At 39.0% G+C, this 26,288-nt stretch overlaps 1 protein-coding gene and 1 long non-coding RNA gene across 2 annotated transcripts in view, besides 1 other annotated feature; one reads left to right on the top strand and one right to left on the bottom strand.

Annotated features, from left to right (window-relative positions):
• Nucleotides 1–26,288, top strand: part of LIX1 (limb and CNS expressed 1) — a 50,745-nt gene that overhangs the window by 3,844 nt on the left and 20,613 nt on the right. Inside the window, exon 2 of the mRNA NM_153234.5 lies at nucleotides 14,139–14,302. Within this exon, the coding sequence (NP_694966.3) occupies nucleotides 14,139–14,302 (164 nt within the window). The remainder of the gene's footprint in view (nucleotides 1–14,138; nucleotides 14,303–26,288) is intronic.
• Nucleotides 13,793–14,992: an enhancer, noted in NCBI's record as "CDK7 strongly-dependent group 2 enhancer chr5:96459480-96460679 (GRCh37/hg19 assembly coordinates)". NCBI's record gives its function as "activates an origin of replication core promoter dependent on BRD2, BRD4, P300/CBP, MED14 and CDK7 cofactors, with strong dependence on CDK7, by STARR-seq in HCT116 cells {active_cell/tissue: HCT116}" and the evidence as "EXISTENCE:reporter gene assay evidence [ECO:0000049][PMID:35650434]".
• Nucleotides 24,353–26,288, bottom strand: part of LIX1-AS1 (LIX1 and RIOK2 antisense RNA 1) — a 40,691-nt gene continuing 38,755 nt past the window's right edge. Inside the window, exon 8 of the long non-coding RNA NR_187470.1 lies at nucleotides 24,353–25,062. This is a non-coding gene — a long non-coding RNA (LIX1 and RIOK2 antisense RNA 1). The remainder of the gene's footprint in view (nucleotides 25,063–26,288) is intronic.

Genomic DNA, 26,288 nt, shown 5'->3' with positions numbered 1-26,288 from the left:
AGAGGGGAGAAAAAGGAACTCTACCAGGAGCATAGAGGGAGCCCATTAAATAATCACATTTGAACAGAAGTGTGACAAGAAAGTGGTGAGGGGCAGATAATTTTTGATGAGATAGAACAGCTTGTCCAAAGACAAACTGGGCAATACAAGAACCATGTGCTGGGGGAGGCAGAGACAGACTGAGGAGGCAGGTTGGGTCATGCTGACATGCCGGCAATAGGGAGCCATTGGAGTTAACAGTAAATTAGTTCTGGAAGTTTATGGCCTTATGTTGCGTTGCGGAAAAGTTTATATTGACATTGGTTAGAGGTACACATCCGAATACCTAAGTTAGGGAACACTGCAGCTTTTTCTTAGCAAGAAACCATTTGCCAACTCAGACAAGATGCAAGATTTGTAAATGTCAAACATGCCTATGAGGAGAAACCACTTTCACTGACTGAAGGCCAAAATCAGGGCAAACTTTCTCAAAAAGATTGTTTAAAAAGTATCTTAATTGTCACTGTAGCCATGAGAATGAGTTGGTTTCTAGCATTGACTTATGAAGTGACATGTAAGATTTCACTGAGATTTTTTCCCAAATTTTATAATGAAAAAGTAAGATGGATCCTTTACTAAGCGTTGAAAAATTGGAAGCAAATTTCTCACATATTTGAGGTGCATTAACTCTTCCATTTGGGAGAACATTTTTCTGCATGAAAGGTTTTATTTATATCAGATAGGTGAATACTTTACTTCAAAGAGTACGTTTTTTGCCCTTTGGAAAAACTGGACCAGACTACAGGGCTATTAAAAACATCTTAGTAATCATGAATCTAGCTATATGCAGCATGAGAGAGCAAGAATCCTCAGGAGTCAAGTACTTTATCCACCCCATGCTTTTTAGTACAGTTATGTGAAATCAATAAATTTATAGTTTTCACATTTCACAGAAAGGAATGGAGTAGGATGTAAAGGCTGAAGATTCTTGTGCAGTAAAATCCCTATACATATTGCATTGCATTCCACCACCCCTGAAAAAATACAGTTTAAAACCACAAAAAAAAGCCAAACAAAAATAAACCCTATAGTGCTTGCTAGCTTATTTTAAAATAATGAGTGCATCTTAATTACAGTAATTTGAACTCTGCTAATTTTAGCATCTAAACTATGGATGTCTGTTTGACTGAAGCCTATTCAAATGCTAATTTTACTTTATTTATCATAGGGCCTAATTATTTTTATTTGAATTTATACTAAGGAAGAAATATAAATTTTAGTACAGCTATCAATGGCATAAGAGCTGGTTCTTTTTTTTTTTCAGTAAATATACATTTGACAGAGTTTAAAGTTAAATGTATAAAAGTCTCAACCCTAGAAGACAGGTTTTCAAACTGGAAAAAATAGGTAGCTTCTTGATCACTTTATGGCTTTATCTGTCCTAGTACATTTATTTCTCATAGAAAAGTAAGATTTAACAGATCAAAATAAATATGATAGACACCTATCCTGTGAGATCAAATCTGGGACCTCTTCATTGACTGCTCTCCCATCTCACCAGAGGTCTTTGGTGGTGGTTGCTGTTGTTTTTAACAGTTAAGATTTGTTAGTCTGAACTCAATTTTAACAACTTCTGAAACTCATGTGTTAAGTTACAGCCCATAATAGGATACAGATGCATAAGGGTGAGTTTCTAAGTTATGATCTTCTGTTTAAATGACACGGTTTTACTGATTATGTGCTACAGATTGATTTAAGAAATGTAAGACAACTTTAGAAGCCTTTCATAAAAGAATCTTCTTTTTGTAATACATTTCATATTGATGTTTTAACCCCAAACACTCTTACTTCTTTTCCTCCATGTTCAAATGCCCATGTAAGTTTAGTCTGTCAAGGTAGTTAAAACATTTCTATTTTAAAAGAAAAAAAAAAGAATCCTATTGAAAGATTGACAAAATAGACAATTATTACACTCCCCATAGTTCTTTATATTTTTTTCTCTAGTGTCCATGAAATGTTTGAATTATGGTTTCGGTTTTTTTTTCCTCCTGCGATGATAATCAGTTGATCCCTATTTTGATCTCATCCCGTTAAGCAGCTGTGAGAAACCATCATTTCGTCACCACTCCTTTGGCACTTATGGCCTGTGCTATTTAGTTTACATTTCCCTCATGTGGCTCTGTACTAAGTGTTACAGCTTCAATGTGGTGTTTTTGTCCACACCTAAGTTGTAAGTTCCAGGAGGGCAGAGCTGTACCTTGTACTTTTCTGTAACCCCCAGGTAACTCCCACAGGAACACACACCTAGCAGTGCACAATCAGACATTTTTGGATTGCCAATGGTTGATTTTTCTTCCTCGCATGAAGGGGGTAAGATTCTGCCCACTGTCAGGTGTTCTCCTTTACGATGAAATAAACTGTGCCAAGACCCTTTTAAGCCATTTATCTTCTGACTCCATTATCACAGGCTAATTACATGCAGGGTTAAGTTGATAGCCAGATGATACAGAAGACAGCATCAAGAAAGTCGGGGCTCTAAAGACAAACACACCCTCTCGGCTAGAGCTCTGCCTTGGGTTGGCCCTATCACACTCTCTCAGAATCATTCCATATGCCATGTTGGCACAATGGCTTAAATTGCCCATCCTTACATTCATCCATTAGATCTACCCCCGACTGTGAGTCACCAAAGTCATGCACGCACCATGCTCTTTAGAGCCAAACTCTGTGCCTTGTGCATAAACCCTGGTTAGATAGCTGTGGCAGGATCTTGAGCATTCTTATAATGACTGTTTCCAGGGAAGGAAGATGCATTACACAAAGCCACATTTACACTTATTTGACCATTTTGACTAAGAAGAACTGATCAGCAAAGCAACCAGCATGACTAATCCTTTATTGGTTGTCTAAAATCATTGGTCCTCTAAAGTCTCTTTTATTTATTTTTATTTTTTTATTTTTATTAATTTTGAGACAGAGTCTCGCTCTGTCACCCAGGCTGGAGTGTAGTGGCATGATCTCAGCTCATTGTAACCTCTGCCTCCTGGGTTCAAGGGATTCTCCTGTCTCAGCCTACCAAGTAGCTGGGATTACAGGCGCCCACTACTGCACCTAGCTAATTTTTGTAATTTTAGTTGAGATGAGGTTTCACCATGTTGGCCAGTCTGGTCTCAAACTCCTGACCTCAAGTGATCCGCCCACCTCGGCCTCCCAGAGTGCTGGGATTACAGACGTGAGCCACTGCGCCTGGCCTAAAGTCTCTTTTAAATACAGTGCAATGTCATTACCCAATAGAATGTGAGAAAGATATGTACTTTCTGATTGGATAAATAGGGTACATCAGGCTTCTATTTTATGCAGCTTTTGAGATTGAATGACATCATCTGACCCAATGTGCACATATAAACCACATATGTGGAATCAGGCATGCTGCTTAACTATGGTATACTTAAAAACTTTTTAATTTGTCTTTGTGATTCCCTCTTACACCTTCATTAATTTTTCCCCTTCTTCCTTAAAAAATTACCCTGTGCTTCCAAATATACATAAAATAAGTGTTATTTAAATTTTCCCCTAAAAGGATTTACAGTTCATCGGTTTTAAATTCTAAAGGTGAAAATTAAGCAAAAAAGTATGATATCCCTTTTGCATGTTTTGCAGAGTCTCCTGAGAGGTTAACTTTGTAAAACAACCTGAAGGATCATAATTTCCTCAGGAATATGTTTGGGGTAAGGAGTGGGAATGAAAGAAGAAGAAAAAAAGCAAACAAAAGAAGAAACACAACCAGCTTTCCAGTTGGTGAAGAGTTAAGCTCTGACCTGGGAGCGTTACCAAAGGAAAGTCCCTCTGCTGGGAACAAAGCAAGACTCCAAGCTGTCTCAGTCCTGCTGTGTGCTGTGGCTACCTTTGAAAGTGTCTACACAAAAGAAAAAGGGGCCCCGAGATTCCTACATGTTGTACCCTGTGTGTCCACAAGATTCCATTAGCCTGGCCAAAACTTGGCAAAGGCTGAGTATAGTTAGAAACAACTAGACAGCAACTCTGTTTGTCAGTGTCCTGGGGTTCAGCTAAGCCCAGCACAAGACCCAAAGGTACCACATTTTTCAACTCATTTTCATGAATGTAAATCAGCGTCACACCTTGAGCTTACCCTTTCAATTGTTTAGGGTTCCTTTTCCTGTTGCTCCTCAAGAAAACTAGGAAATAACATTGGTAAAAACAAGTTGTACATGATTGAATTGCTAAAATACTAATTAACTTTATTTAAAAATATCACCTGCTAGGGATAATTTAATTAAAGGTTATATTAAAATATTACATAACATAAATCCATCTGTTCAGAGGTAGATAATCAATTTAGAAATATGGCTGCCGGGCACGGTGGCTCACGCCTATAATCCCAGCCCTTTGGGAGGCCAAGGCGGGTGGATCACCTGAGGTCAGGAGTTCAAGACCAGCCTGACCAACATGGTAAAACACCACCTCTACTAAAAATACAAAAATTAGCTGGGCGTGGTGGCAGGCGCCTGTACTTCCAGCTACTCAGGAAGCTGAGGCAGGAGAATCGCTTCAACCCAGGAGGTGGAGGCTGCAGTGAGCTGAGAAAGCTCCATTACACACCAGCTGGGCGACAAAAGTAAAACTCCATCTCAAAAAATATATATATATGGTAATCATCTTGAAAGCCTCTTAATGATTTATCCTTAAATGGCAGCCTTTCCAATTTGTCTTTGTTTTCGACAAGAGAAATTCTACCCAGCTAGAATATTTCCTCATGTAAGTCTTAAAGAAATTTGTTCTTTTTTTTCTGTCAAATTTATAATGGATTTTTAAGATCCCTTTTTGTGGACAAATGACTGTCTTCTATGCAGGACTTGTGTCATATTAGGTAATTGAACTAAGCAATGAACTATATGGTTTCTACTTTCCTGAAGAATACACTGTTATGAAAATTAATTTAAAATAAAATTAGCTCCTCATGGTAGTTTTTGCTAGGAGCAGGTCTATTGCCTTTAGCATCCATGGGAAAGTGAAAAATTGGGACCAAAAAAATCCACATTTTCAAATTTTGAGACATGTAGCATTTTATCCATTTATTTTCTGGCTATTAGGGAGTTCTCACTTTACCAGTGAATGTTATCAAAAGATCTTTCTCTTTTCTATCCCTGAACTCTGCACCTATCTTGGAAATAAATAGCACAATGTGTTCAGTTAGAGAATCTTCAGGTTGTAGACTATTTCTGGACTATTTAATGACTTAGTTTCCAAAACAGGAACAGTTAGTTTCAAAGATGCAATATGAAGACATATATTCATGCCCTCTCTTTTCTTCCTTTACTTCCTCCAGTCACAAATAATAGCTAACACTCTAGTACTTACAATGTGTGAAGTTCTTTTCTGAGCATTTTCCATTTTAAGCCTTACAGCACCCCTGTGATGTAGACACTACATTCCACAGATGAGGAACTGAGGCATGGTGTGGTTAGATATCTTGCAGTGATAGAAACAGGATTCAAACCCAGACAGTCTGGCTTCAGAGAACAGGCTTTTAACTACTAAGGAAACTTCCTGTCTGTTGATAAAAAGTGGAGAGACAAGATTCAGTGCATATTTTATTGTGTAATGAACTCATGCCTGTATTTGAGGACTCTTCTATAACAAACCCTGTAATCCATAAAGCATTTAAACTCTCTACATCTCAAACTTTCCCTATGAAAACATAGATCATATATGCTTATTGGCATCCTCATTGTGTCCAATCTGTGAAAATAAAAATACAATTTTATGTATATATACACAAATGATAAGCCCTGAATGTTGAGTATGATGCCCTCTGGGTGTCCAATTACTGATGTCCTTCTCTGAAGGGGCTTCATCTCCTTCCAGGCTGCAGAAGGAACACTCTTTTGCTTAATCATCTCCTACCCACTTCTAGTGGGTTTTTCTGTCCAGGCCCCTCTCAGAGAAATGTTCTACCTTGGGCTCACCCAGATACACAAGAGCAACCACACATTCTCTCTGGGGATCTGGGCCCTTCCTTGTGGCTCCACCTCTTCATGGATGGAGCCACCACAGGCAGCACAGCACCTTTGGCAAGGGCAAAGGACAAGGGACTCTGTTCCTACCCTTCTCTCCTGCTTGGGTAAAGCTGGGACATCAGGGCAATGGGGTTCACATCCAGTTATTAAAAGAAGCTAAGTCCTCTCACCCTGTCTCTTGTCAAATCATATCCCTTCCTACTGGCACTCTTTCCTATTGCTCCCTACACAGTTCCTCAATGGGAGTATCATTATTTCTCTCCCTTCACCCATCCCTCCCTCAACCTCATTCCTCTGAGAAGGGCTCAGCTTAGGCCTTTTTCCTACACAAATTTTTCCTGACCTTTTCAGCCCACATTCATCTACTCTTCCCCTTGCATTTATTTGATTATTCTGCCATAAATTTTACATTTTACATGTCACTTTAACATCATCTCTGTTCCACAATTTAGCACTCTAATATTTTGTTCACTAATTATATGATGAATATATTATTTCCCCAGTCGGATTGTAAATCTCCGTGGGCAGAGACCCGTCTTGGATTTTTCTATTACTTCATAGCATCAAGGTCAGGGTCAGCACATAGACATGCCAATGCCACATTGCAGGTTAATTATGGCGTTCTGTTCCACTGATCCCATATGGTATTTTTCAATTCTTTTCAACAGAGTGCTTCAGGCAGTCAACATAAATCAATTCGTGTTGGCATCCAAGACAAACAGACTTATTATCCCTGTTCAGGAGTTTCCTAAGCACTAGTTCTTGTGAAGGTACAACCCAAGTGAGTAGGCAGCCAGCAACCACATTTCTACCCTCACCAGGCTTCATCTCTCTCTACCCACTTTGCCATCCCCAGCTGAGACATGGTTGCCACCAATACACCCATGTTGTTTGAACACCATGGTGGTCTATCCGTGAAACCTCCTATTCCAGAATTAAGTCCTGACCACGCTGTGGATCACAGTGACTTCACTTACTTTCTACATGTTCATTCAATTGCACTAAAGCTGTTTAGACTATGTCGAGGTTTCTTAGATTCCAAATGAATTCAATGACTGCTTCTAGGTGAGTATCCAGCCTGTGCTGGATACCAAGGAGGCTACAGAGAAGAATGAGCCAGAGTTGCTGCCCTCTAGAATCCCAGTCTGCTGTGAGTTAAATAACAGAAAACTGTATTCTGTAAGATGAATTGTTACCACAAGGCATTTCATTCCTCTGGCCAGAAGGAAGTACAGCCAAGTCTGACTGGATACATTTAGCCAGGAGCACCACATCCATTTTATTAGCATGGTTTATAGGAGATTAAGTGCTAAGACATAGGGCCACTCATGGAATAAGAGTTCAGAAAAGGAGGTACATGTGGGTAGGAGCCAGTGAGTAAGACACAATGGAGGAGGTGTCATTTCCCCTGAAGTGTGGGAGTAAGCTGGATAGAAGGAAGGGAGGGAAAGGACACAACACTCAAAATAGGAGGGAGAACTTGAACCAAGGTACAGATAACAAATAAGCAACATGTGTTCAGGGAGGTGTGATGAGACTGTCCAGGCTGAAGCTAATCAGGAATTTCTGCTGGAGAGGGTCAAGGGTTAAATAACCAAGGTGTTCCATGTTGCTGGATGTCTTCATCAGTTAACTGGGAAAGCCTCAATGCTGACCTTTATAATAAAAGAAAGGAAGCTTCAGGAAGGGGAAAATGAAAACCTCACTTACAAGAGACTTGCTTGGGGATCTAATACTACTCTGAAAACTCTGTTGTGTTCAAATTTCAAAATACAGTGAAGAAGAAAGTAGCCACACTAATGTCTATAAACTACATGGCACATTTTCTTGCTATTGAAGCACAAAATATTTAAAACTCCTGTAGGGGCCTATCACCGTGTTAGAGAAAGCAATTAGGGGTAGTAGAATGAATTAAGAAGCTCGATCTGCAAAGTCATTTCAGAGGTACGCTGCTTTCTTTACTGTCAGCAGTTCTAAGCTGATAGAAATCACAAAAAGGAACTGGATTTCATGCTATTATTAATATTCCTCCTAACACTTATGTCTCCTTCTACTTCTTACGTCCCTTGCCTCAGCAAGGGATTTGATATTCTGCTTCTTTATTGTAACTTTATCAGTTAAACATCAGTTACCTTGACAAAAGCAAACCCAAAAGATGATTTGTGAAAGTTAAAGGCAGAACCAGAAGTGTTGCTCAGCTCATCCTTAATTCAGTGTCAGCCCAACTGCTACCCCTCTGCTTTCTCCAGAGCTCCATCTTAGGAGTCACTGCTTCCTGTGTCCGGTGTCTAGATTCGCTGTATGGCTGATTTATCTTGTCCTGGCTGTGGATAAAGTCCCTTCCCTTTAGTGTCCACTGGGAGAGAGTAGAAACTTTTCAAAAAGAACTTTACTAAACTTTCGGAGAAATAATGCAAAGCCATAGATAATGTGTTTTCGACTGTAGCTTCCTGACCCTGAGGTGGAAGGCACAACGAGGCAGAGACCTGGCCTTGCCAGAAGGCTCATTTCTCTCTACGGGGGAAACCAAGCCCCTCAGCAATCTCTGTCATTGAGTCTTATTTCTCTTGAGGTCCCTCCTTTGTTCTTTGAAAGAAAGGGCTGGAATGAGAGGCTCAGTCACAGCCCCTCCTGAGCCAGTCTGTGGGTATTTACACCATTGCTTTAACCACAGCAGTTGGCTGAAGATTGATGATAAGGATATTGGTTTACGTGCACATGGACTGCTCATTCCGTATGACAATTCCAAGTTGGAAACATGTCATATGACTTGTTTGAAAATGTGCAAATAAAGTCTTTTCTTTCATTTGACTTTGTCAAGAACAAATGTCGGAAAAATGGCCCACGGAAAAAGGTAAATGAAGCAATTCTTGGGGAAGGCTCTCATGCCTACACTACCAACAGCCTCACAAATGCAGCCCATCTTCTATACTTTTGATAACATTCAAATACTTGACTAACATTTATTATGTTTCTACTATGTTCCAGGGGTTGTGGGGAAATGATATAATTCTTTCTCCAATGAGCATTGTCTATATTACAGATAGACAGCATGAAAATAACTTAAGTTCTATTATATTACGGAGTATCTCAGGATAAACCAAGAACATGGACTATAGAGGCAAAACTAGGTTAAAAATCCTAGGTCTAAGACTTAGTAGCTGTGTGATTACACCTTCAACTTCTTTTTTTTTTCCTTTGTAGGATGTGAATGATAATACCTATTTCAAGGGGGTGCTGTAAGGATGAAATGGGAAAATGCATATAATAGGTACATTAGGAGGATAGGAATGGTCACTTCTTCCTACAGCAAGGCATCTCAAATTTTAACATGCACCAGTTTTTTTTTTAAATCTTGTTAAGAAGCAGATTATATTTCAGAAGGCCTAGGGTGGAGCCTGAGATCCTGCATTTTTAACAAGTTCCCAAGTGATATCCATGATGTTTCTTGCGGGTAGGGCGTGCACTTTCTTTAGCAAGGGCTTTGAGATTATTTTGTTTTTGTTTTTGAGAAACTGATGCTGGAAGCAAGTCTTGAAAAAGAGTAGGTACCATTCAAGAAGACAATAGACAGTGGAAAGAAGGGCATTCCAGGAGGATGAATGGAAGTACTGGCTTTTGAGAAGCATAAGAAGCATAGGGAGTGAGGAACGTGAAGGGTGAACTTGGGGAGAGGAGGTTAGGACAAGAGAGAATAGTGAGACATAGGGTCTTCTATGCCTTGCCAAGGAGTTATTCATTCCATAGTTAATTAGGGACCCATAGAAGGACTTGAAGATGTGAGTGATTTGATCGGCTATGAGATTCAGTGATATTACCCCGGAAACAGTGGGAGTATAGGTTGGATGGGAGGCTGGTTGGAGTCAGGAGGGTATTGTGGTATGCTTGATCAGATACAGTGAGCATGAACGAATGCAGTAATGGCAGTATAGACTGAAAGAAACTGATGCTGATGGGAGACATCAGGATATGAAACTGACAAAACTTGGGCATTTATTAGATATTGAAAGAGGAAATGAAGTTTAAGGTTTATGCCCAGTTTCTGATTTAGGTAACTAGGTAGATGATAACATCACTTTTTTTTTGTAACCCAGGAGAAAGAAAAGTAATTCAGGAGGAAGAGAAGAGTTTATGAAAAAGAAAATGAGTTGAGTTTGAAAATATGTTGAGTTTTTGCAACATCCAAATGGCAGTGTCTGATAACAAAATTGGAGATGCAGGAGAATAGTTTGGGAGCTATCTGTGTATATTATGGTGGGTTCTATCATTCAAGGAGAATAGCTGGAAGAGAACAAGAGGAGACAAGACAAGATTTCCATGCTAGCCAACATGAGTAGTGAGCAGAGGAAGAGAAATCCACAAAAGACACCAAGGAGAAATGATCAGGAAGAGATGCAGACTGAGGAGGAAAAGCCTAGGGAGACAAGGTTTCTAGAAGAAAGTTATCAGCTTTATCAAACACAGCTAAGAAGTCAAGTAAATAAGGACTGAAAACCAGGAATTGGTACATTTGTAGTAATTTCAGTGGAATAATTTAGAGGAAAGCCTACATTACTTGAAGTAGGTTAAAAATAAATGGAACATAAGGAAGCAGAGATAGTCAATGTGGAATATTCTTTCTAGCAGTTTGGCTATATTGGGAGCATTTTAATAACTAGTAGCCAGACATAGCTCCAAGATTGAGTGTTTCATTTAATTGATTGATGGATTCATTCATTTATTCACTTAATAGTTGTTTTGAGCACACTTTGGCTGCTGGGAAAGAGTGAATAATGAGGGAACTTTTAAAAATAGGCCATGGGAGTGACTAAGAGAACAATTCCAGGAAAAGCAGCACAAATTCTTTTGAGACTGTAGGAAATAAGGTGGAGCTGAGCATTTGTGCAGATGGGTCCCTAGACATAGGGATGGATATTGCACACTTGGTAGCTCAAGTTTATTCTGTAACATGGAAGGCAGGATCATTGGCTGGGCACTGAAGGTACAACTGCACCTAGAGATCAACTATGTATTGATTGACGCCTACTCTCAAACTTGGGTGATTTTCTTCAGCAGCTCTTGAACCTCTGCTCATATTTTCTTTGAAATTGTCCACAAACCTTGTTGATGCTACCACCCCAAATAAAGAAGCATGTGTTTCATAAATAGAGCATTTTCTGATATACCCATCTTTGGAATTCCAAACGGCAAGCTGGCCTTCTTCCCTCTGCACTTCATTTGTCTGGTTTTTGAGTCGACAAGAATAGATAGAGATAGAAAGATGGATTGTGTGTCTGTATGTATATATATTGCACTCTTGGTGGGTGATGACATCTATGGGATCATCAGAGAAATCTTTCAAAATTGCAGAATGAAAAATTTGAAAACTTCAACTTTTATTCACACAGAAATCGACTTAGTGCATACCTTCAAACTTTTTAATCCCAAAAGCTTTACATGCCAAAATTCTTGTGTTCATTTTCCCTAGATTATCATGCATTTTACCTAGACTATCATGGGTCCTCAACTTCCTCCTCCACTTCTCAGCTAAACACCAGTCAACAACTGACTGACAAAGTAGGAGGCTAATAGTCCTTGTTGACAAGAAGAGTAACAGGCTACTGGCATTAGTTACAGTCTTCAATCTTTAGGACATCTCTGCTGACTTCTGGAGGTCAACTGCAAGCAGAGACTCAAGTCAGCTAGCTCATAGATATTTGTTTCCTCAGGGGTGGGAGGGAAAGGAGGAGAGTAGGGGACAGAAATAATAGTTTAGAAAATAAAAGTTCTAATTCTATTTTGAGTTACATCAACTAGTAGAAAATATTATTTCAGGGTGGGCACGGTGGCTCACGCCTGTAATCCCAGCACTTTGGGAGGCCGAGATGGGCGGATCACAAGGTCAGGAGATCAAGACCATCCTGGCTAACAGTGAAACCCTGTCTCTACTGAAAATACAAAAAAATTAGCTGGGCGTAGTGGTGGGCACCTGTAGTCCCAGCTACTCAGGAGGCTGAGGCAGGAGAATGGCGTGAACCAGGGAGGCAGAGCTTGCAATGAGCCGAGATCGTGCCACTGCACTCCAGCCTGGGCGATTGAGCAAGACTCTGTCTCAAAAAAAAAAAAAAAAAAAAGAAAGAAAATATTATTTCAAATATTTTCAAAAAAATTAAAAAGCTCTGTAATGACCAATTCTCAACTTGACCATTCAATATGTATTTTATTGATTAACTCAAGTATCCCCTCACTACTTTTAACATTTTCCCAATTTCTTTCCCAAATCACTTCTTAAATTACTAAACACTGCAGTTTTTAAATATACATGGCAACCAGTTCCTTAGGAGTTGCCAGAATTTGCCTGAACTATACACCATGAAGCTGATCAGTGACCTACAGAGGAGGTGCAGACACCTAGTGCTCTAGTAAACATTTAGAAAGTGGCTATACAATGATTTTGCCTCCAGATCACACTCTGAGATACTCCAGACTCACTGAAAAATGTCACTGTCCAGAATTTTAAAGCAGATCCAAGAATATATTCAGGATAATGGCAAAGGGCATAGATGCCGTGTTACACAAAGCATGTTTGAAAGAGCAAAAACTATTTAATCTAGAACTTGAAAAAACATGAGTGTTGACTGTTTAGTGTACTTTTCATATGCATGTGAGAGATGCCACCTGAAAATGGCTTAAGGAAAAAGCAGGTGGGTTGGTTAGATAACTTCAAGTCCAATCAAGGATCCTGGATTATGGGCATAGCTGAAACCAGGAGCTCAAACTATGTTGTCAAAACTTAGCCCTCCTCCATCTCTTTACTGAACCGTTCTCTGGGCTTTCTTCTCAGCCAGATTTTCTTCTTGCTTGGGCAGCACCATGCTTACCTCCTACGGCTCCAGAAACCCCACTGAAAACAGGAAACTTTCAACATTTTCAACACATTCATTGTCCCTAAATGGCTTGGCTATGGCCAAATTCCCACCTGCACCCCTCGAGACCACATGATTGTTCAAGGAAAATCTTGGTGCTGTTTCCACAAGCAGGGAAGTGAATGCCAGGCAAGCAAAACAACAGATGTCTTATACTGCTTTTAAACCTGTGGTGGGCTCCCATGTGGATAAGGAAATAAACTTTTTGAGGCCTCAGAAATGAGAAGTAGACCCTCTGCATGAACCTTACAGGAAAGCAGATTTCAGTTCACTCCTACAAGGACCTTTTCACAGAACCATTAGCAGTTGAAATAGGCTGCCTCAGGTTGTGGCAAGTACTAGGTCCTTCCACATGTTCAGGTACAGGCCAGATGAGCAGCTGTCAGGAATGCTGGCGAGGAATTCCTGCATTAGGCAGGGCTTTGCCTACATGACCTATAAGGTCACTTTTGACTCTACAATTCTATTATCCTTGTTAATTTCTACAATTTAATTTGCAGTACAGGATAAACAAACCAATCTAATTTGATCTGGAACTTCTGCAGGCTATCACAGGTCATTTAATCTAAAACATATGGCTCTAGCCATTACTATGTTTTCTGAAATACTCGAACAGACCTTGTTCTTAACAAGGTCTTCATGTTATTAGTTTCACTCATGGATTTTTCCAGCCTCCTGCTTATTCTACAACTGCCTTTCATTCTCGTTTAGACTGGGGTGGAAGGAGCATGAAAGAGTTCCCTTCTTTCTGACTTTCTCTTCTTAAATCTTTGCAGGCTTAAGAATCTATGAGAAATGAGAAAGAGGACCACAGATAATCACAGCTCTGGATAAAGTCTATTAAGACAAATGTTCAAAGCAGAATGAGATTTTTAATTTTTATATTAAAAATTAATTTATAGAGTAAATTTGAAATACTGCTATATTGTTTTAATTAGGGTACCAAAACCACTTCTTGAGCCTTACTCATTAAGAAATATACACATTTGCATTTGTAAATAACAGGTTCAATTTGTATATTTTAACATACTTTAAATATATTTAAATAAAGTATATTCTTTCACAGCTAAAAGCCCCTCCACCCCACTATCCACATACCCAGCTCTACTTAAACTGGAACTGTCATGCTACAGAATCCAGCTTGCAAATAAAATTTTGGTTTTGCACCAGATTATGTCCATCCTTAATAACTGATGGTGTTTCTTGTCTTTTTCAGTGAACGTTGTGTCAATGTTACAGGAATTTTGGGAAAGCAAGCAGCAGCAGAAGGCTGCATTCCCAAGTGAAGGTGTGGTGGTCTATGAGTCACTGCCAGCTCCTGGGCCTCCCTTTGTGAGTTACGTGACCCTCCCAGGGGGAAGCTGTTTTGGCAACTTTCAGGTAAGAAGTAGCCATTAATTTGTCAGTGAAAGTTCATTGGGCTAAAATAAAGTAAACCTTTTTGTAAACTGGTAACATTACAAATTTTCTTGGAAATAGTGAACAAAGTTGTACCATATCCTATGAATGAAAACAACCAGAAAGGAATTAAATTTGCCAATATCCTTTATAAATACCCTTTTAATTGAGTAAATTATCCCTCAATTTTCAATAACTGGCAAAGATGTTTTATTTCTTGCTTATGGATACCGTGAAACTCATAAGCAATCAAGTTTCTTAGTTTGTCAACTAAAAAGCCCAAGGCAAATTTTCAGGTCATTTTTTTGTAGTGTAAGTCTACAGAACTTAATATCATATAATTTTTAAGACTAACGTCATACCTGATACTATTTATATTTTAACCTTTACTCTCCCTTTGAACTTATGAAGTCACTCATTTATTGTATCCTGTTACCAGGTGTATCTGTTTTACATGGTTTCAAATCCTTCACTGAGTGAGGGAAGGGTATAATTTAATAAACAGACCTACAAACCTATGCTGCCTCTGGGAAGTCAAAGAAGGATTCACAAGAAATATAAATGTGAACTGAGGCATTCAGTTGATGATGTCTTGGCCAATGGGAAAGGGAAAAAATGACACTCTTAGCATAGGGAACCACAGCATTTTCAGAATTAGGGAAGCATAAGGGTTAATGTGTGGCAAGGAACGGTTGGGAGAGGACAGGTAGGCACTCACATCAAACCATAAGAGATCTTCATACTTTGCAAAGCAGTACAGGTTTTATTCTATATAAAATCAGAACCTTTGAAGGATTCTGAGCAGAAGAGTGATGTATTCAAATGTACTTCAGAAAGATTACTCGGGTCACAGCATGAAGATGCTTTGGATTTAAACGATTTAAATGGCTGAGAGGCTGAAAGTGATGAGTGCCCATGGAGACAAGCTGCAAACACAGTATGTTCAGGAGCTAAAGGTGAAGGGACTTCACTAGGAATGAAAGTTGGGAAGATACTTTCATGCCTAATGAAGTCTCTTCACCTTCACCTTTACCAGTGGTCAGCCCTGGCTTTGGCCACTGGGTGGGAAACACAGGAGGAAGTGGAGCGGGTATGTGAAAGGTGAGGACGAAGAAAGTATGAAGTACCTGGAAGCCAAACAGAGAACAGCAATCGCCCTCCCCTATCCAAAAAAAAAGTAAGATCTGAAGCTCAAGGAAGAGATATGGGTTGAACTTCTACATTTCTAAGCGGAAGCCACAGCTACAGGTACCACTGCCAAGTGAGGATGTGTGGTGTGAGAAGATGATCAAGGAATGCTCTTAGGAACAGTTTTAGTGGGGGAAATAAAAGAAGAAAGATTTCTCTAAAAAGCCCATTGCCCAGAAAGAGACAAAGAACCAGAAGAGGGGATTTATGGAAACCGAGAGATGTGACATCTTGAGACTGAGGGTGAAGTGAGCAGCGGTCAGCCACAGGACAGATGTCCAATGAGATGTTTCCACTGACTGTGATGAATGTGAAATCCTTATTAACCTTCCGAAAAGTAATGTCAATGGAGAAAATGGGATACAAATTAGATTACAGTAGATTACAGTTGTTAGAGTAAAATAGGGGTTTAGAAGTAGAGATAGTGTCCTTCAGTAAGGATTTAGAGGGCTCCTTCCTACTCTGGTGGTCAGCACTGCTTGTGAAAATAGGACCACATTGCCTATTGTCCAGCGGGGAGTTGGAGACAAAACATGTTCTGGTCAAACTGGCATCAGTGGCTTCCAGACATCTAAGCCATAATTAAAGCTGGGAAGGACAACTAAAACTGAGCCACTGAATATTCAGACAGTTCTCAAATAGCCTGCAAAGATGGGCCAGAATCAACAAGATGAACTCTTAGAATATAAAATAAAAATTAAAAAAGTCTCAAGATTGAATCAAGATGGAGTGGACTTAGCACATTCTTCAAACTCTTTTCTAGTCTGAAATTCCCTAAAATGTCAAAGACATGTTTTAAAATAAGTAAATTCACAATAGTGCTAGGCAAGAAGAAAGGGTGCCATTGGAAGAGATGAACTTTGAGGCAATTCCGGGAGACGAGAGTAGAATCAAATTATTAGGGGCAAAGATGCCACAGTCTAAATATATATAGGAGAAACGTACTGTGAAAGTAAAGAAGAGCTAGAGAAACTCCAGGTTCACATGAACAAATGCAAAGAGCAGAATGCAGTCCTGGGGTAATTTTAAGGCTAATCAAAAACTGCTTTCAAAACTTCTGACCCATCCAGCCAGTGAGGTGTTGCCTTCCCCACTCCGAACAGTAGTCAGCAGTGTGTTTTTACCACTGGTAAATGAAAGTGAATTGACTGAGGAGGATGATTTGAATGTGGGTATAGAAGCCTCAGAACAGAGCTTGATGTAACCGTGGACACCAAAGACACGGATGAGAGGCAGCGAAGGGGAAAGAAAGGCAGCCATTGAGGAAGAGGCTCTCCAACCCACTTGTGCCTGCAGGTCCATTATTGAGCATCCTAAGGTGAAGTCTGCCTGTCAATACACCCCATTCAATACGAAGCACCCAGCTGTCCTCTCATTCAGGGGAGCCCCTCTAGGGAAACAGACATTCTCAAGCATAGAGGAAGGTTTTGTCAGCCATCTAAACTAATGTACTTGTTTGTCCATCTATGTCAATGAACTTAAGATCACCAAACATTTAAGGAAAACCAAATGCATAAAAGACCAAAGGCAAGCAAACAAAAGAACAAAACAATTCAAGCAGCACAGAATGTAAAAGAGTATTAAGTTAATATCCTCAGAAAATTTTGAAAGGATATTTCTCTCTAAAACAGCTATTAAAATGGAGCAAGCAGGGAGCAAGAAAATGAAATATGATGGCCAAATTAGAACAATAAGTATAAAGAATTAAGAGGAGCAAATAGAGTAGCAGACATAGACAGCCAAATTAGTAAGGAATAACTAAGTAAAGTCTTCTAGAACTTAGAGCAAAAAGACAGAGATGGAAGACAGTACAGGAGACATGCAGATAAATTTTGGAGGTAAACATCAATTTAGTAAGAGCTCTAGAAAGAGACAAAGGAAATAGAGGGGAGGAAATAAATAACAGAGGCAATTTTCTTTGAGTTAAAGAAAAGCATAGGTTGTCAAATGGAAATGGCCCAACATATTCCAAGCAGAATCATAACAAAAGAAAAGCACAGCTCTGTGGTTATGTGGGACTTAGAGACAGCATTCTGCTTAAAGGTAGATCAAGGGACTTTTTTGATACTGCATATGTACACTATCTGTTTTTAAAATTAGATTGAACATATACGTAGCTTTAGGGAAACTTCAGGGGGCATTAGCTCCCTGAAATGGGACAAAAACTGGCAAACTTGGTTAACAAAATCAAAAACTATTTCTTTGAAAAGACAAATAAGAAAGACAGATCTTTGGCATTTCCGATTAAGGAAAAAAGACACACCACACTAAGCATTAAAGAGAGGATATAATCATAGGAGTGTAATATAAGAATACTATATAAATCATTATTCATTGAAACATGAAAACTTAGATGATATGGACTACTTTCTGGGAACTCTTTACAATCTTTGCAACTCTTATATAAGCGTAGCATTTATTTCAAAATAGAAAGTAAAAAGGGGGGCTTCAATGGCTCCCTGTTACTTTCTTATTAAAGCATACATTCCTTACTCTGGCAATAAAGATTCTACAGCTGGTCCAACTTTCCCTTCCAGTTTTATCTCCCCGATTTCCTCTTCTGACACTTAATGCTTCTACCTAACTGTTCCTCATGCATGTCTTGACCTCTTCTAACCATTCCCATACTCACATTGAGATCTACTTAGGAAATGCTATTGCCACCTTCTCTTCATGTCTAAACCCTGACCATCTTCCAGGACTCCACAAAAAGTTTTCTCTGAATCTCCCTGATGGAACTCCCTACCTCCTGTGATTTCCCAAAGCAGTGTTCTCTGTTTCTCTACTAGGCTTAATGTTTTCTACCGTATGCTCCAGTTGTCTATGTGCATGTTCTTTCCCTTTACTGAAATGTAAGTTCCAGGGATGGGGTGTGTATCCTTATGTTCCCCATGACCTCAAGCACTGTGTTTCGCATACAGTGCATAAAGTGCCTAATAAATTGTGTTAAGTGAATAGCCAAATGAATGAATAACAAATCCAAAGAATAAATGAAGTTAATGTTTGTCCATTCTTGTATGTAACCAATAGTCAGCTAAGATCATTCACCTAAATCTGCAAGATAGTGGGCTAGGAAGGAAAAGTCAGTAACAGTAAAATCAGCTGATATTATTTTGTTCATATCTGTGGTTAAAGTTTTGAAAATGGATGAATTTAAAAGTATTGATTAAAAATATCTTATGATTCTCTCTGGATTTAATTTATGCATAGCAACTTTTTCCCCACCCGACTCTTAGGACCATAAATAACCAAGATCTGGCAGTACTCACACCCAGGCATGCATTATATTTGTTCATACATTCATTATACTCTATCTAGAATATAATGCATTTGACAGATTGGTGAATGGATCTAGAAGATATGAGTGTAAGAAATTCTAGTGTTATTGTTTTTGTTTTTGTTTTTGCTACCCGGAGAAGTATAAATTTTCCTATCATCTCATAAATTTTGACCCAAAATGATAGCTCTTCCCTTAGGTAATAAATTCAACATCCTCCTGTGGTCTTAAAAAAAAAAGAAAAGAAATAGGAAACAAAATGAAAAACTGAAAACTTCAGCAGGGAGGCCTCTTGCTGATTTCTCTGATCATTTTAGGGTCCCCTTTTCTTTATGTTTAAATCATCATATTTTAAGGCTCTCAGGAGGACTGTTAACATCTTTGCTTAAAAAGATCCAGAATTTCCTGAATCAAGTATGTTTTGAAAATGTGTTTGGGTGGTTGGCTGCCAAATCTGGCCCCTTCACCCATTTGGCCCTCCAAAATATGACTTGAGAAGGAAAACCAGGGGGAAAAATGAAAGAACATTTCTCCTAAAGCAATGTGCTTACACTTTTCTTTGTCAGTTCAGAAACCATCTTAAATGCTATTTTCACCATATAACATTTCATCATGTTTTTGCCAGCAGTTGGACTATAAGAGCCTACATGCTCATTCCTGCAATGCCTTTCACATAATCAAATGTCACCCCTGTGCATTACAAATCATTTCACGATGGATTATTAATGCCAAGACCATGTGCTGAAACATGGAGAAACCATTATGCCAGCAGTAGCCTTCTTACTGAGCCATGGACGTCACCACCAATGGTGCCAAGTAATTGAAAATACTTGAAGTGGAGTATGGGACTGGATTGTGGGACTAATCCCTCTGGTTTCAGGCAGTTTCATGAAAGCTGTAAGAGATTATGCTCATTCATTCTTTAGGAAAGTAGTATTCAGACTGAACTTTAGTTTTCTGATTAATCAAAGGAAAGCAGTCCAGTCAAAGACTCTGATGGATACAAACCACTGGTTTTTATGCAGAGAAGCCTCTCACTGAAGTAAATGGGAAGCTGTGTCCATGAAAGCTAATTAAAGAATTTTCAGTTAGCCTTGACACCACAACCTACAAAAAACAGAAACAGAGAGAGAATGAAAGAGAGAGAGAGAGAGAAAGCAGCCATAGCCCTGCCTTTAGACCAGGCCTTCATAAGTTACTACAGGATAGAAAAAGAGAAGTGAAAATATAATTTTATTTCTGCATTTCTAAAAAATAAATAAAATAATCTACTGATTAAAAATTTTTTTTTCAGAAAGTTGTATTGAAACACATTAGTACTTATTGGATCTTTTATAAAAGAAATAATTTTCTAACATTACAAGCATTAAGTATTTCATGTATTTTAGACATATTTTCTTCATGCCACTTTTGTCTAGGCAGTTAATCCTTCCCTAGCCACATATCATGACCATGAAAACTTGCAGTAATTTCCATTTTTTTACAATAGAGCAATACAAGGGCCATCAGATCCACGTCTGGCTCCCCTCTTGATGAACTCAGAAGGAAAGCCACTCATTGTTGCAGCAGCTGTTTTTGCTTCCAAATCCAAAAGGGAACTTGAGTATTTTATCTTATTTTATATTTTGATTTAAAGGGTTTGTGATTCAAGTTTTGCTTTCAAGTCAGTGACGTGGTCTTCCACATATAGCCTGCTGGAATGACTTGAATTAATGCATTTCATTCTTATTTTGACTAAAAAGGAAAAATTTCCTCGAATATAGTACTAGAGCATGTGATTATTTATGTGCATGAATTATGATTGAATGAAAAATGCCTCCTGACAAAAATATTAATGTGATAGCTCGATCTATTTGGAATGTGAGACACTCACTCATCGGGGCATTATATCTTTTTCACATAAGTATTTTGTTGTTAAAATGGCTTCCCAGAAAATAAGTACAGGTGTTAAACACTGGGTTCTGGTACTTAGGCTAGTTGAATAGTGCCAAGCACTCTATGAGGTTGAGACAATCAATTCTTCCATAGGCAAACTGTTGATTGACCTTTTTTTTTTTTTTTCCATTTGTAACCAATGTTTGGTGTTGCAAAACAGGGCTGCAGAGTAGTGAGATGCGGGGTGGCACACAGTGCAGATGAGCTCCTTGCCAAGCTCTGTCTCTAAAAGGCAATGAATTCATTTGATGGGTTTTGATTTTTATGCCAATCTGGTTTTCAAACCAAAGCTATTGCCTATGCTGATATCTAGAAAAACTATTTTTCCAAGGAGCATACAGCCTTAAACAAGGTGAGGAGTATTTTAATTTTGTTTTATTTTAGTTACTTAAGGCAGTAAGCAAACTTAATCTGCATTACCAGACATAAAAACGCGTTTTATACTTCCATGCGTTAAATGAGTCTTCTCAAAGTCCATGGAATTAAAAGTACATTTAAATCACAATAAACTAAGTTTATAAAATTAAGTTTTTCCCAGTAGAGAATGACTAAGAAAATCTGATTAATTCATACACTTGACTCAATGGAATTGTAATGCTCTTTTTGCTGAGCGTTAAATAAGGCCTGGCCTTGACATTCCACATCCCAAATAGGGATTTAGTTCCTGCTATAAACTTGAGACTATTGCCCAGCACTAATGCTGTTTTAATGCCTAGTATTTCTATTTGAAATTATCCATGACCTCTTCTCTGCCTCTAGGGTGGTATACCTTGACTCAGATGGACGACATGCTATGCAATGTAACTTAACTTCTAAAGGAGGTATTTCCTGGTGGAAATCTCCACAGGAAAGCATCCTGTTTTATAACTAATGAGACTCAAAGACGGGAAGGTTAGTTATAACCATTCGAAAGTCATATGTCAGCTAATTATCAGATCTTAATGACTTGCCCATGAAATTGGGAGTGCATATTGCTTTAATGAGACCCTTTATTTATTCCCCAGCCTCCTTCCCTAACTTTAATCTGTTTCTTTTTTTATTAAACAAAGTGAATAGAAATTCTTGACCTCCAAATATAGAATGTAGTGAAAGAAATGATTAGGAAAGGCCCCATGGTAAATAAAGACTTCAGACTATCTCCACAGGAGTCTCCCAGCCCCTAGTTCATAAACTTTAGAAAGATGCTCACCAGCTCAGTGAGTTGCTGAGTGGGGAAGAAAGCCTGACTCCATCTCTCCCTAACTCCCCCATCCCAACTCCTTTCACATCAAAGCAACTATAAAAATAAACCCAAATCTTGAGCCCTGATCAATTCGTCTTGTCTACACCTTAACTTGAAAAAAAGAAAAAGAATAAAAGAAAAAAGAAAAGAAAAGGAATAAAACCTCAAGGAGCAAAGCACAACACAGGCTTGTAATAGCTACCAGGGACCTTGGTCTAGGTATGTGTGTAGAATAGCATTGCGGCAGAGGTAAACGAGGAGAAGGCCAGGTGGTTTATATTATAAAAATAACATTCTGACCCACCATGTGCATGAAACATTTCTTTCAGTTGACAGGAACTGGTGAGTTTTCTCTGAAAATTGGACTCCCAGAGCAGTCCCCTCCCCCACACCTAGCTAAGACCCCCATCCCCAGCACACACAGAGCTCTAAATTGTTCCCAACATATTTGCAGCCACCCTGACCTATGGATAGACACGATATTAACTTGGGTGACTGAGTTCCAACGGTTGCCCTTTTTCACATCACCATCTGGAAGGAGAAAAAATGTTAATATATCCACAATTAGATAAATTGGAACACATGCAAATGTTCATGCTTCGGTCAGGGTAGTCAAGGTTTTAAAGCACTGAAAGGGGTTCCGTTAGCAACAGGGTCTGGTTTGTGGCATTCTTCGTGAAGGCTTGCTGTCAGGATGAAACCGAGGTGTTGGTGACACTGACCAGAGCTGTCAGGCAGTACGCACAAACTCCGCAAGTCACTTGCTAAAAGTCGGACTCCAAGTCACAAAAGCAAAATGTTCCCAAGCACCTGAATGACAGACCTAACAGCCGATAGGATTTGGGCAGGAATTCTCACTTCTCACAGAGTCAATTTATTTGGTTTTGCCACCTGCAAAGTCCCAGCTTTGGAAAACCCCTTGGGTACCATGTGCTATTGAATAAATGCCACCTAAATAACACTGACCTGCCCTTGACCCCAGAGAAGATGGCATCTTCAGCTTTGAATCTGCAAATAGATACAATCTGTCACATTAGCTATTACATTACTGTTCTTTTTTTTTTTTTTTAATCCTGCTTCTTACAGACTGTGTTTCAACTCCTTGGCTACCATTGGGAGGCACCAGTGAAAAGGTGCCTAAAATGTGTTTTATACATTTTAGATCTGGAGACCATTTTTCTCCTGATGTCTTTAAAACACATGTGTGAATAACTGTAGAAAGTCTGTTGTTTAAGATAGAAAGTTACTTGTATCAATGTCCTTCCATATGCATTCCTAAAGAAAGCACTGTAGTTGGGATGTAAGTACAGTAAAACCTTGGGATGTAGAAACAACTACTCAACACATGTATCCTGCCTATTTTCTAATACAAAGCATGGAAAACAATCATTAATCAAATGAGGGCTACCAGGAAAGTTACTGTTTCATGTCTAAATTGCTTCAGCTTGGCCAGAAGATGGTTCTATAATCAGTAAGACACCTACAGATAGTTTTAAAGTATTTCACAAATAAGTAATAAAAAAACTAATTTCTTATTAGGAATTTCTATTTATAACACATACATGATTACCAAAATTTTATTTCAATTAATATAAGAACTTCAGTTAATGCTAAATAGTTAACTAGTCATTATTTTATTTCAGGACAGCCTACTGGTCAACAAATTAATCTTGGTTAAATCTCAACATTACATAGTGTGACACCCTGGAAAATAATCATAGAAGAAATAAAAACTGTTAAGCAGAGAAGTGAAATTGAGACCTCAGTTAGTTAAGTCAGTAGTGCTATGTACTTCCTAAGGATCTAATTGTAGAAGAACTATCATAAAGGACTTTTTTTAAACCTGAATGCTACTTTCCTTGACTCTTGGGTAGAAGCAGTTTCTCTAATGAGAAATCAGCATTTCTGATGTTAGCAGAAGTGGCTTTACAATGAAGACAATGAAGCTTCTGCAGAGGCTCTTTGTAAATCACAACGCCAATCTTTTTATTTGTAATTTCATATTGTTTTTCTTAAACAAGGGCCCCCAAATTGTGTAAGCCTCAGGCCCCACAAAACTTGGTTCTGCTCCTGCCTGTTGGAAATGAGACATGGCAGGGGCAGAGGTTTCAGCAACACTCCTCTAAGAGTTGTCCTGGGTCCACATGTCAGAATCACCCGCAAATCTTATTATATGCAGACCCCACCATCATATAGCTGAAGAGATTCGGATTCAGTAGGTCAGCTTTGGGCGCAGGAATACACATGTTTAACAAGTTCCTGGGTAACTGTACTATGAACACTAAAGTTTTTGAACTATTGGTCCAAACTCCCGGCCTAGGCTTGGCAGCAATCTTTATAGTGTACCCTATAGGGTCCTGGTGACTTGTTGGTCATCTTAATCTATGATAAAATACAGGGCCAAAATGAGTTAGTCTTGGGGGAAATTTTTTATTCATCAGAGCGAGGGAAGTTTATTTTTTGTTTTATTTATTTAGTTTTTGAATTTTAGTACAGACCAGGTCTTGCTACATTGTCCAGGTTGGTCTCAAACTCCTAAGTTCAAGTGATCTTCCAGCCTCAGCCTCCCAAAGTGCTGGGTTTACAGATATGAGCTACCATGCCCGGCCAGAGAAGTTTAATTTAAATGACTTTTGCTCTTGAAGAGTTATCAATACTTCTTGGAATGCTGAGCAACCTTGTGTGGTAGAATTCCAAAATCTCTTGGCCCCGTACTTCATCAAGAGAGTACTTAAGGTTAGAATGAGATGCTTCCTACAAGGTAACATCTGATCTCTGGCCTAGTCGCAGTTGGCCTTTCTCTATTTTCCTTCTCCCTATAGTCCAGGAAAGCATCCAAAGGAGAACAACAGGAGGGAGGAGGAAATTGAGATAATGTCAGCATATTCCTGTCCTCAGTGAGTACCATTTATCCCCACAGTGTACTGTATCTTGCTTGGCCTTTTGTTGTAAATGAAGTCAAGTTTGTCATGGGAGGAGATATCCTTGTAGTCTTATATCAAAATGACCCATAAAAGTGCAAAGTTGAAGCTTTGTCTAAAATACTGTACTGATTTAGAGAGTGCTATGTGACCTTAGGCAAATTATATGTCCTCTTTATTCCAAAGTGGGTGGCCATTTCTGTGAAGAGCAAAATAGCAAAGTGGTTAAAAATCTGGACTCCCAAGTCAGACAGACCAGAGAACAAAACAAATCTTGTTTTGTTCACATCTTAAGGTGCATGACCTTGGGATGTATAACCTCTTTAGGCCTCTATTTCCTCACCTGCAAAATAAGGATAATAACAAAACCAACTTTATAGGATTGTTGTGGTAACAAAATGTGATAATAAACATAAAGTGCTCAGCATAGTACCAAGCACATAGTGCCAGCAATGTGGATTATTTCATTGAGACTTCTTAATTACCTGTGGTGAGCAAAGCCTTTGTATTAGTTACCTATTGCTGCATAAGAAATAGCCTGAAAACTTACAAACATTTATTGTCTCGCACAGTTTCCGAGGATCAGGGATCTGGAAGTAGCTTAGCTGAGTGGTTTTGGCTCAAGGTCTTCTGGAAGGAGGTTGCTTTTGGTAATCTGTCAGCTGGAGGTGCAGTCATTTGAAGGCTTGATCAGGGCTGGAGGATCAGCTTCCCATCTCACTCAGATGGCTGCTGGCAGAAGGCTTTAGTTATCTGCCATGTATGCCTTTCCTTGGGACTGCTCATAACATGGCAGTGACTTTCCCCAAGGCAGTGACTTTTCCTCTTGGTTCCACTTCTCTTCTCTTATAAAGAGATGGCAAGTGAGACCAAGACGGAAGTCATAGTGTCTTTTATAACCTAATATGGGAAGGGATTTGCCATCACTTCTACCATATTCTATTGGTTACACAAACGAACTCTGGTGCAGTGCAGGGGAGGACTACACAAGGGTGTGAATGCCACGGGGCAGGGGTCACTGGGGAATCTTACAAACTGGCTACCACTGCCTTTGAATAGCTTTCCTGAGCAATGCCACAGTCACTCTTTTTTTTTTTTTTTTTTTTACTTTAATTTTAGATCAGAGCCAGGAGGCTTTGAAATGATTATAGTGGTTTATAATCTACCAGCAAATGAAAGGCATCTGAACATCAAAATAAATGTCTGAATGAGGTCTGCTGGCCACTCGGAAAGCATGTGGCTCCACATGCCTGAGAAATTCACAGCTGACTTTAGTAAAATCTTGACTTAAATATCCCAGCTCTGCACTTTCGCAAAGTGCAAAGGACAGAAGTTGTCCTTCTATATTAACAAGTAAGAATGGTTAACAGAAAAGACACGGTTTACAAATCTATATTTATGATTAGGGCCTGGCTAAAAAATAGC

The sequence above is a fragment of the Homo sapiens genome, chromosome 5 (assembly GCF_000001405.40).
Source record: "Homo sapiens chromosome 5, GRCh38.p14 Primary Assembly".
Lineage (NCBI taxonomy): Eukaryota > Metazoa > Chordata > Mammalia > Primates > Hominidae > Homo > Homo sapiens.
The sequence above is the reverse complement of the archived record's forward strand: the minus strand, read 5'-3'. Positions and strand labels throughout refer to the sequence as shown.